The 13,040-nt window shown below is 35.8% G+C and overlaps 1 protein-coding gene across 3 annotated transcripts in view, besides 1 other annotated feature; it reads left to right on the forward strand.

The window, feature by feature from the left end:
• The window catches only part of ARHGAP15 (Rho GTPase activating protein 15), a 638,934-nt gene that overhangs the window by 5,963 nt on the left and 619,931 nt on the right, over positions 1–13,040 (forward strand). The window lies entirely within an intron of this gene.
• Positions 6,240–6,379: an enhancer, noted in NCBI's record as "active region_16599". NCBI's record gives its function as "activates an Ori minimal core promoter by ATAC-STARR-seq in GM12878 lymphoblastoid cells {active_cell/tissue: GM12878}" and the evidence as "EXISTENCE:reporter gene assay evidence [ECO:0000049][PMID:35858748]".

Here is a 13,040-nt window from a genome sequence, read left to right on the forward strand (position 1 = left end):
CATTCAACTCCATAAATAATTTTGAACTCTAAGTATACTATGTTGTCCTAAGGATTGCTGGAGATACAAAGAAATAGATATGCTACTTAGCCAATGAAAACTGTTTAGTAGGTAAGAGGTACACAAAGATAAGTATCTAAATATCAATTATACATATAAGTCCAGTGCCATAGAAATATTATAGAATATACCATTGACAGAATCCCAAAGGTCTTCATTTTGCCAAATCTAATAGCCATTTATGTATCTTTATATTATTCACTGTCTGAGCTGCATTTGATGCTATCGAACCCTCCTTCCCTCTTGAAACTCTCTTTTCATTTGACTTCTGGAATACTTTTTTCTTCCAGTTTTCCTCCAAACTACCTGAATGCTCTTTCTGTATCCTTTGCTAACACTTTCTCATCATCTAGCTCTCTAAATGTTGGAATGTCCTGAGATCAGTCTTTGGATTTCTACTTGTCTTCTAGGTTTATTCCTTTGCGGTTTTATTTAGTTTCATGACCTTAAATGTTATCTATATACTAATTATATTTCAAGACCAAATCTTTTCTCTTAGCAGTAAAACTATAAATCCAATTGCCCATTCATCATCTCCACTTGAGTGTCTCATAGAGACATCAAAGTGAGTATACAGTACTCAAAGCAAATCTCCTAATTACTGCCCACCTGTCCCCCAACCCAGCCTGCTTCTTTCCTTTTTGCCTCCACCTTAGTTAATGACACCATATTAATCTCTCTTTTCAGGACAAGAGTCTAAGAATTATCCTTGATTCTACTCTTTCCCTACTACTTCCTACCCAAAGTTTCATCTAGTTTATCAGCAATAAGTAGAGCCTGTAAAATATAAACTTACTTTTCATTATACTGTTCACGTGACTTTTCTCAATAATGGCCCTTAAGGTGTTATATCTTTTTTTTTTCAGTCTAATACTTCTTTTATTTTTTATTTTTTTGGTTGTCAATACAATGACTTTTCTAAAAAAATCTTGCCAAGTGAATACAGCACAACATGACACTTGGATGAACATCAAACTTTAGATAAAACACACACACCAATTTACTCTCTGCTTTCAAGTTAGAATAACAAGAAGCATATGAAACAATGTTGATTTGTACATGTTTGAATTAATTCAAGAAGGTTGAAGAGGTGGCAATGTTTACAACCTTTTAGTCAGACTTTTTGTTGGGCCCCCGGCTCCAGGTGACTCCTGTGCTGTAATTTGTTATTAAGTATACTTTGAGGGCATGAAAACCGTTAAGTCTCCCAATCCTTAAAAATATTACTGAAGAAAAAGATATGGAAAGAGAAAATGTAATAAATAAAAACTCCTTTTATATTACATTTTGTTTACAATTTGTCTTCTTTCAAATTGTTGCTATTATGTACTTGAATCCTTTTTTGAGGTTCTATTGATATACTTTTATACTTATAAGTGATGATTGGAAATCTTAGGCTCTTATTGAATAACTTTGTATTTCACGGGAATGAATTAGATATTAAGCAAGAGGTATAGGTACATCAGAATATCTTGAATTCAATCACTTCTTTCCACTTCCACTGCTGTTATTGCAGAATTCTCCTGACTCTCCTCCCTGCTTCTATCTTCCCCACAATAGTCATTGTCCAAGGAGTAGACAGAGTGGCCATTTTAAGAGTTCAACCATGCAAACTCTTTTAATATAATATTCCAAATGACTATTATACTTCAAATTAGATTCAATCTCCTTTCATGATTTGCAAGGACCTCGTTATCTCATTACTCTGCTTTTGTTTTCCTTCATATTAGTTTGGCTATGGAATTTATTATTTATTTTTCAGTGTTTAGTGGCTATTTTCACCTTAGAATGTGTGGTCCATGGGAGTATTGACCTCGCCTGTCTTTTTACTGCTAAATACCTAGAACCTAGAACAAATGGTAGGTGTATGATAATATCAATAAATATTTGTTTAGTGAAAGGATAAATGCCATAAAGATTGACTTTGGGCTGTAGAATCAAGGAAGACAATCTGGAGATGTGTGAATTTTCCTGGTCTAAAATATAGGGTAATTTAGGAGAAGAGAAGCTAGAAATATATTTCAAATAAAAGACACTATATGTACTATATATATGGTACAGTTTTAGTAAGTTGGCAGTGATGAAAGGTTGGGTTTGAATTCTGTATCCATTATATGCTTCTGAAAAATGGAACAAATAACCCACCAGCTGAAAACATATTGCCATAAACTGATGAGAAAGAGCAACTACCTCTAAGTATTTAAATTTTAAGCAATTTTACTAAAACCATGGTATTAAAATTGACTAATTTTATGTTCACTTTAAATCCATTTCCTAAAAGAGTCAAAACAGAACATCTCTTTAAAAGAGCTATGGAAGGTAGAATGCTCAGGAAATTGGATGCTGAGTCAAGGGAAACTTCCGTTTCTGTTCATTTATCTTTCTGCTTTAGTTAATTTCATGTTAGAATTTTAAAGACTAGAAACTGAGCAATGGAACCCAAATTCAGCTCTCTGCTAAATGCACTGGGGAAATCAAGTAATCTGAGCTTCTGTATAATATCACCTATTCATACTTTGATGGTTCTCCTAAAGTAGAACATTAAAGGAAAAAATGTATGGTGATTACCTCAGTGGTGTCTCAAGCACTGTGGTAAGTACTATAGTTGTTACCAAAACTAGACAATATTAACTTATTCTCAAGATGTTTACAGTTGCTTGAGAAATTCATCAATATAAATTATTAGAGTGAGATTCTTAATAATTATCATCATAGCTATGACTTACTCTGTGTAGATTATGGGACAAGAATTTTGCATGCATAATTGCATTTGGTATCCACAAAAATCATGTAAAGGAATTTGTATCCCCATTTTAAAGATAAGGAAGCTAAGGTTAAGAGATTAAATATGCAAATTTACAAAGCTTCTCGGTAGGCTGGGTCATGAGTTGTACATAGATCTGGGTAATGCAAAGTCCATGTTATTTTCAGTATGCCATGCGATAATTTTGAAGCCTGTTAAGTGTTAGCAGTTAAGCAATGCTGAACTTTATTCATGAGGCCCTAGAGTCTAAAAGGCTCTAAAAGAATCCTACTTTGTTTGATGTCTAAAGCAATGCCATCTGTAGGAAACCTGTTGTTTCTTCTCTGCAAATATTGCCTATGCAGAAGTGTTGTAAAACTTGTGAGGAAGAAAACGTTCTTTTGCCTTGGTTTTTGCCATACTGCAGGTGTCTTTCCTCTTTCTCTTTTTCTGGTCTCCTCTGGATTCTATGTCTCCCCCTGGCTCTTAATTCTCAAAAATTCCTTCTTAGATCCACCTATCCAATACGGTAGCAACTAGCACAAGTGACTATTGAGCACTTGAAGAAGGGCTAGTATGAATTAAGTGTAAAATAAACACCAGATTTTGAAGACATAGTACAAATAACGAAAATGTAAAATAATTAATATTTTGGCATTTAATCATGCTCCATTGATTATATTTCGAAGTATTGGGTTAAATAAAATTATTAAAATTAATTTCACTTATCTCATTTAACTTTTCCAATGTGGCTACAGGAAATTTTTAAACTACATGTGTGTGGCTCATATTATATTTCTAATGGATGCCACGGCTCTAAACCATCTTCTTTTTGGTCTCTCTTTTGACGTTCTTATAATTTCAATTTCATTCCTCAAATACGGTCCTTAAATTTCTATCTTTAGCCTTGGTGTCTCTGTCAAAATTGTTCCTTATTTCTAATTGTCACTTGATACTTCCTCTATGATATCCCATCAGCAGGTTAAACTGATTATGTCCCACATTAAATCCATGGCCTCTCCCAAGGGTTATTTTTGCCTTCCTTCCAATTTCGATTACATCTCTACTCCTGAAGTCATATTATTAAGGGACATGATATCATCCATATCATGTATTCCATACCACTTATTCCATACATCCAATCAATTGCCATACTCAAGCAGCATTTATTCCTTTCTTTCCGTTTGCACGTATCATCATGGTCACTATTGGTCATCTATTGAGTCTTGTCTAGATTATGGCAAAAGAGTCTCAGGCTTTTATATTGCTATTTCTCTTGCCTCTTTATTTTGCTTCTTATAAATGTATTTTAAGGCTTTAGGGTGATAGTTGGGTTTGAGTTAACTAATGCAAGTAATAATGTCTATCATCTATTTATATTCTATTTAGAATTTTAAAAGTCGTTTTGCATATGTTATTTTACTTGGTAATTCTAGAAAGCCAGTGACAAAGTGGGAGCTTTTAGTAGACTTCGTAGAAAAAGGCAGTGAAGCATGGAGAAATTGAATTGCGGGAGGACACAGAAGGGCTAGGACACATTTCAGGTATAACCATTAAAACATACTTTTTCTCAAATTTTAGTACGGAACTTTTTTCTTTCTTACAGAGATAGTAGTGGTATTAAAAGCACAAGCTGGGAAGTCAGAAAAAATAAAACTCAACTCTGGGCCCTACCACTTGCTAGATCCTGTATGATATTTTGGGCAAGTTACTTAATCTTTCTGAGTCTGCATTGGCTCATCTGTAAAATGGTGAGTTTCCTCCCAAGGAAAAAATATAAAATGATGTATGTAAAGATGTTTACCCTGCATGAGGCACATAGTAAATCACTTTAAAAAGGTTAAACGCGGTGGTAAGAGTAGCAGTAGTAATTGTTTTATCAGGTCTTGAATCAAAGAGTGACTTTTTTTTCTTCACTATGATGTAAAAATCATGCTATGATAATTTTGGTTTATTTCAATTCTAAGTATTATGATAAAATTATGAAACTCATCAAAAGCAATTTCTTGCTATTAGTTTCATTTTCTCAATACAGCTGTGTGGGGGAGTATAGTATAGCTGTGTGGGCAAAGGGAAGAAGAGATAACTCTTTTCTTGTTTGTTTACCAATTTTTAGTTGATATGGTAGTTTTCCTTCAAGCAGCTCAAGATGTACCCTCACCAAAAATACCCTTTAATTATGAAGAATTAATATTTATCACATAAAACAATTCAAAAACAGGTAGGCAGCCACTGACTCTTATGCCTGAAATTAAAATGAAGCAAAGAAAAACAGCAAACACGAGGAGAGAAAAGAAAGTAGAATTCTCTTCATGCACTTTTATTTTAAATCTAAATTTTTGCATGGAGTGGTAAGGTAGTAAGGTAGATAGTCCACAAGACAGATCTACTAGGGTCCTAGAAAAATAATTCTGAGAAGGGAACATATAAAAGGAAACTAGGAAGTCCTGAGAGTATAGATTGCTAACCCAGTAAAGAAGTCTTTTGTCTTTTTTTTTCTTCCTTTCTTTTGTTTAATTTTCCTTTGAGGAAACCAACTCAGGATTCTATATATGTAGGTTGAATGAATATCCCAACTCAGTCCTAATTTTGAAAGCAATTGGTGTTAGCGCATCCACTTAATGAGAACAAGGTGCAGCAGAGGGGAACCCACGTGCTGACAAAATGCTGGGAAGACAACCAGCTATGGTGCTGTCCACAGAAAGCTTGCTGTATCCTATGGCCAGCTGGCATTGAGCTTTAGGTTTGAAGTCTGGCATTAGCAAAGGGGATTAGCAAGTGGGCAGTAGGTTCAGGGTGGGAAACCAGCTTGACAAAAAACCTGGAGACCAGTCAGCATGGCAGATGTGTAGAGCATACACACCCTGGAGCAGGGATGGGGGAAGGTGAAATGCAGTGATCTGACTTCTCCTGACCATGATGAGCTGTATGGTGCATACATTTGGCAGCTTTAGATGTGGAGAGGTATGCAGGAAACACAGGAATCCAACAACACTTGGGATTTGGAGTCACAGTCATTCTAATCTTGGTGGCAAACTTGAACATGCTGGAAATGCTCATGGCCTGGGGGAGTTCAAGACAGGGGATTTCAGACAGTGCTGAATGAATATACCAATTTCAGTACTAATTCTGAAACCAGTTGGTATTAGGGCATTGAATTAATGAGAGCAAGGCATGGGACCAAGTGTCTATAATGTCCTAAGTACAATACAGAGCAACAACACTGACAAATACAGTGTCTGACTTTAAGGAGCCCACAGTCAATTTGGGCAGAAGAGACACACAGCTCAAATAGAGAACAGAAACCAATATAAGGCAGGATATAATTATCTGCCAAAATATAATAGAAACAGTAGAGGAGGCAGAGAAAAGAGAGGGAGGAAAAGGGGAACTTGCTTAGCAAGAGCAAAGAGCACAGCACAATATCCTACTCGTTGTAACTAAGATCATGTTGAGAAAATTGTAAGAATAAATGAAGTAATGTGAATGTCTGACGATCCTCTTTCTAAAGCAGTAGTACAAATGCAAATGCAAATGCAGTCTCCTGGTTCTGCTCTTCATTTGCGATCTTACCAGCTTAGATTTAAAAATAATGAAATACTGAAAATAATATTGACTTAATAGGCAGCACAATCACCATTCAACCCATACATCAGAGGAGCAATGTTCCTAGGGGTGATTGACACTACGAGCCACAGTCGGGAATGCCTGCAGGCCAGTTGGGATATCTATACAAGATAAGTGGGTAGGAGAGGACCTGTAGACAAGAGAACGTCTATATGATGCCTTGTCTATAGGATGTAGAAGCTGTCCACCCGCAGCTGTCTCTTACCATACACACCTGGATCAGTTTGCCACATTTTATGAATTTTCAAGAGAAGACATATAGACATACTTTTCTGTTTTTTTTTAAAAGTAACAACCCTCATTTTTCAATTGGAAATTGATTCAAAACATTCCAAAACATTGTTCAGGCCCAACAACATATGTCTGTGGGTTGAATTTGGTTGGCAGTCTGCCGATTTTCCACCTCTTCTTGAATTTATAGCTGCTCCTAAAAAAGCAGGAGCAGAGGGTAATGATTAGAGAGAACTGGAGTCCTCCAAATAACTTCTGTATATGCAATAAATCCCAATAAATGTTTAGAGACTGACTGGAGCATTAGATTATTCTGTGAAAAAAGCATCCATTTATGTATAGCTTCTTCATTTAGGTCCTTGTTGTGTCTGTCTAGCTTGCATGACTGGGCTCATTTTCCTAAATTGAAAGAACAAACTTTCTTCTGCTGCCAACCCTCCCCAAAGCATTTTTTTAAAAAAAATCATTAAAAGATGTCTCTAAAAGTTTAACTTGACTAAGTCATAACAAATACATTTGTCTTTGCATCAACTGTTATTTTTGAATCGCATGATGTAGGTAGGGTATGGATCAGAATGTGTGGAAGTACTGTTGTAAGGGAGATGAAAGAGAGGTTTGCATACCTTGTGTTGTGATAGTAACAGTGGCAACCATTTAAATACACATACATGTGTGCATGCTCACACACACACAAAAACACACACAAGAACCCCACCAGTAAGTGCACAAGATGGGGAAATGTAGCTGGGGCTTGGTTGCATAACCCATTTCATCACGTTTTCTCCTTTAATAGATTAGATTCTCTGTCTCAGACGTAGTTATAACAAAGGATATAAGTAAATAAAACAAGACAGAGAAGAAAAATGTTCAATGATTTTTAAATTAAATGGATAATTCTCCCAACTATTTAATACTCTAAATATTTATGCATTTTTTACTTTAATGTGTCCAAGCAAAAATCCTATATTTCACTTTGTGAAGCACCTAAATTTAGACAGAAATTTGGCTACACTAATTCAAATTACAGTAGCACTCAATTAACTGGAACCTATTAGTTATATCACATATGTAACCATCTCCTCCTCTGCCTCTCACCTTGAGGGGAGAAGCCTGGGAACTATACTTTGAGGAAGAAAAAGCAAACTAAACTTGTTTAAGTGGAGTATCTAGTCCCCCAGATAGCTCCTATATTAAGATTCCTGAAAAGGCAGTTGAATCACTTCAAGAGACTAAAGGCATCAAGAGAACCTTCAGTTATTCATCCTAGAAAGAAGAGGATACATTTTAAGGTGTACATATACAATATACAATTAACATAGTATATTGTATCTCTTATCTTCAAAGAAAAGGATTGAAAAACTCAGTAAAAAATTTCAGTTTAAGTAATGTGAACTGGCAAATATTTTTTCACTATTTTGATCATCTGGGCTTCTTGAAAGGAAGCCTGAGGATACATAATTTTGTGGATTTTTTTTTCTCACACCAAACTTCCTTTGGTCTTTATCAAGGAGAGCTATTTTCTTTCTTTTTTTTTTTTTTGTCCCTCAGACAATTACTTGAACCACCTCAGGGCTAAATCATCCACCGCTGGAACAAGAAATAGAAAACCATCAAGACACTGGGACCAACTTCACAGTAATAAGAGTACATGCTAAGCCATTCTATCCAGAACCTACTGCAAAAGCAATGGAACTGAAATTGGATGGGCATTCCCATACACTTTTTTTTTTTTAACTTTAAGTTCAGGGATATATGTGAAGATTTGTTACCTAGATAAACTTGTGTCATGGGGGTTTGTTGTACAGATTATTTAATCGCCCAGGTATTAAGCCTAGTACCCATTAGTTATTTTTCCTTATCCTCTCCCTCTTCCCACCCTCCAAACTCCAGTAGGCCCCAATATGTATTGTTCTCCTCTATGTGTCCATGACTTCTCATCATTTAGCTCCCACTTATAAGTGAGAACATGCAGTATTTGGTTTTCTGTTCCTGTGTTAGTTTGCTAAAGATAATGGCCTCCAGTTCCATCCATGAACCTGCAAAGGACATGATCTCATTCTTGTTATGACTGTATAGTATTCCATAGTGTATATGTACCACATTTTCTTATCCAGTCTATTGTTGATGGGCATTTAGATTAACTCTATGTCTTTGATACTGTGAATAGTTGCCTCAATGAATATACACATGCATAAAGGGATGATTTATATTCCTTTGGGTATATACCTAGTAATGGGATTGCTGGGTCAAATGGTATTTCTGTCCTTAGTTCTTTGAGAAATCTCCATACTGTCTTTTACAATGGTTAAACTAATTTGTACTCCCACCAACAGTGTACAAGCATTCCTTTTATGAACTATTTTTTAAGTGTTGAAATTGATGTTATTTTACTCACACTTACCAAGTTCATGATATAAATAAGCAAAGAAAAAGTAAAAAGCACTCTTGCACTCAAAGTTGTGTATAGACCCAGATTGCCTAGGAGCTCTTTGGGGATTTCTTTTATGCAAAAGAATTTATTTTCCAGCAATATTTATGACTGGATGTTGGTCTGGTTGACAAAGTACCATATTTTAATTAGTCTTAAGTAGAATATTTACAGCATCATTTTCATGCACCTATGTGTCTATTTATCTATTTACTTACCTGCTTAGCTACCTACTCATTTATCTCTCACTATTTTCAACTATTGCCCATACCCCTACCCCTCACCAGCATATTCTAAAGTGAACTTTCATTCCCAGGAAAATTAATTAGAGCAGTAATATGAACAAAATGAAGATAGCAGCAATGGGCTGTAAAATAAGAAGACACCATAGTAACAAGTAACTATTTCACAATAATGCGCGTATAAAATTAAAGAATAACTTACATAAACCTTTATAAAAATAACTTTTTACAAAAGGGTGCAGCTGAATCCCTTAGGGGTTATGACCAAATATGCAATTTCTCAGCCTCTCCCTCATTCTCCTTAAATGGGAATATCTGTGGAAGGTTCAGCTAAGTCTGCATATTTAATAAGCTCCACACATTGACCATTGAGAATTACTACTTTATAGCTCTCTTTCTCTTTACTACCAGAAGCATGTGCACATCTGGAACTGGTTATTTCTGACCCTTACTCTCAGGTGAAACATTAACTTAATACAGACAATCTTTAATTCTAGTGGAATGGGGTTTTGTGGATTCAACAATAAATTATAATGAGTGATCTCATCTTTTGGTCTGGGCTTGTGATGTACAAATCAAGTGCATTCCCACCTTATTTACAAGTCCCAGCACTTCAGTGGGTCACCTCTTCCTCACTGGACATTTGCTTTCTCCTTGACCGCAACTTCCTTTGCTGGTAACCTGGTCATTCATTGCCTCACTCTCTTGCTAGGGTTGAGGTTCTACCTTTCTATTGCCAATCTCCTTTGTGGATAATTGAGCTAGACCTGAACAAATAGCCGGAATTGAGAACTGTGCCACCTAGCAAAAAACCTCCTAGTTGATAACAATCTGCAAATCTGAACTTCTCAGTATTCCCCACCCTGTCAGATTATCAATGACTGTTTCTGCTCACTTGTTGTATAACTCTTCCTATTCAACTTGTATCCCCAGTTGCCAATATTTACCTAGATTGTGACCACAGATCTATGTAATTGCTTGACACTGTCAGCATCTTTCAAACTGAACCTTTCGTCACCACGTGTGGCTAGGAGAGCTCTCCAGAAACTGGTCACTTCAGATGAAAAGCCAGTTCCCGGTTCTTTCAGGAGAGATAACAGGTCCTTCCAATTTATATATGTATAGGGGTGTGTGTGTGTGTGTGTGTGTGTGTGTGTGTGTGTGTGTATAATATATATATAATATATATGTAACTTTATTTCCATATGGAATATATATATATCTCACACCAAACACAAACATTATTTCCAGATGAATCATAGTTCTAAAAATAAATAAAGTTGAAACAACTCATTTAGAGGAAATCATGGGAATAGTCTTTGTTGCCTTGAAATTAAGCAAGGGTCTCTTAAGAGGGCAATAAAAGCACTAATCGTAAAAGGATATAAATAATAAGTTAAACAATATTAAAATTAAGGACCTCTTCATTAAAACATGCCATTAAGAGAGTGAAAAAGCAACCCACAAGTGGGAAATGATAACTATTGCAACATATATATTAAAAATAGACTTGTGGTTATAATACATAAATAACTCCTATAAATCAGTAAGAAAAAGACAAACAATCTGATCTTAAAAACAAGCAAAAGTATTGCACAGGCACTTCACAAAAGAATATTGCATAGCAATCATCTTTACAAATAAAAGTTTGAGTGAAATAAGCCCATCAAGAAAAAATAGACCCTTTAGGTTTTCATTGATATAAAGTTCAGAAATAGGCAAAACTTAGAAGACAGAAGAATGATTAGCTTTAGTGGGGTGAGGTGGGTAGTGAGTGGAACAGAGCTGTGCGGGGATTCTGGAGTGCTGATAATATTGTGTTTCTTGGTTTGGCTGTAATTACAAGAATGTGTTCAGTTTGTGACAGTTCATTGAACTTTATATGCAAACATAGGCATGCACACACACACACATACACACAAGCTATTTAAAATGTATTTTACTCATAAATAATTGAGCAAGAGAGAACTGATTTTTAAATGCATTAAAGGAGATACTCTGAAAACTTTTATTTTAATGATATAGTTATTGTCCTTCACAACAATAGACTATGACATTAGTGTCCCATCATTAGACATGCCCTTTTGGCACTGAAATTCAATCTAATAAATTCAGAGTTTGGAGATGAGCATTAGGGAAAGACTAATAGATACAACAGCAAATTTGCTAAATAAAACAAATGTCAACCATATCTGACTGTTGTCAATTACTGATTACTGTTAATTACTGTCAAGTACTAATTATGCAATATGCAACTTCCACATATTTGAACCCTGGGCAGGCCAAGATAGTGATAGCCTGGCATAACTGCAACCAATGGGTGATTAGATTTAATCTGCCTGATAAAAAGACTTTGCGACTGGGTCAAGCACTTTAAGAAGGAAAGACAGTAGAACAAGAAATCCCAGGAAACTGAGACAATCGCAGGTTAAAATTTCCTTTTTGCACTTGATACTCTCCCAACAAAGATTAGAGAAGTAGCCTGTCCCAGTGAGGGTCTGAGACTCCATTTGTTTCCCCAGTGTTTTCTAACGCTGTGGCTGCTGAGCAACTTGTTCTAGAGCTGATGTTTTCTCTTTAAGTGACATTTCATCATCAATGCCCTAAGATAGTCACCCTGTTTTCCCTTAATTGATAGTTGTACGCAAGAGGCGGAAAATCGCTCAGCATTTCTTGCTAGATTAGGTCAAAACTGACAGAGGAAACAGAGAGAAGATTGCATTACTTATGCCCCTTATGGCTCTCATCTGTATCTAAGAAGATTGCCATTTTATAAAATTTCTTATGCTCCCTAAATGTAATTACAATGGCGCAGGCATTTTCTTCCTATTTGCTTTTCAATTTTTTACTACCTGCCTGATCATCAGAGGGAAATTCAGAAGCAGTTCCACTAATCTTAACTTTATTTTCCTTATGTCTCTTTAATTAGATGCAATTGCACCCTAGGAACCTTTTCTTCAAATGCTTTATTTAGTTATTCCTTTTAAGTCTTTACCTTTCTTTTCATTTGATTGTTGACCAGAAGCATTGAACATGTACCTAGATGTTCAGAGTGAAGTACCTAAAATTCTGGAATATTTTTTCCGTATCACAGGGTGCCCTTTTCATAAGATTAATGTTTACAAATAGATACTGTAATATTTATTCTGTTTTAAAGTTAATTAAGAAGCATCCCACGAGCATGTTATATATTTATTTTGTGGCCTCAGGGGTCAAGGATTCTTACTTGTGGATTTCTTTTCATCAAGTATCTTAGAAAGGGGTTATACCTTAAACAAAATCATCAATTTCCCCAGGATCTATAAGACAAAATCCCAATTCTTTAATAAAAATAACCAGGTTCTCCTAAGGCAGCCTTAATCAACCATAGCTTTCCCACTTAGCCACCAACACTGTATCATCTTGTGTGGATGTTCACTCCCCTTTCCTTAAATCTTGTGATCTCAGCCTGCACTGCTCTTGATATCCCCTCTCTGCCTTTCAGAGTCCTGTTTATCATACAGCATCCAGGCCTCACATCACCTCCACCCTAAAATCATCTCCAGTCCCATTCTCCACTGCACTCTAATCAGACTTCATGGTAGGCAAGCCTGCTTGTGCTTAACTCCACTGCAGGGTGCTTAATAACTTTGCAGAACCTGTGGGATGTGGCAAAGTCTATGTCTCAGAGTAGAGGCTCAATAAATATTTGAAGTGTAAAATGAGCTGC

Source organism: Homo sapiens, chromosome 2 (genome assembly GCF_000001405.40).
Source record: "Homo sapiens chromosome 2, GRCh38.p14 Primary Assembly".
Lineage (NCBI taxonomy): Eukaryota > Metazoa > Chordata > Mammalia > Primates > Hominidae > Homo > Homo sapiens.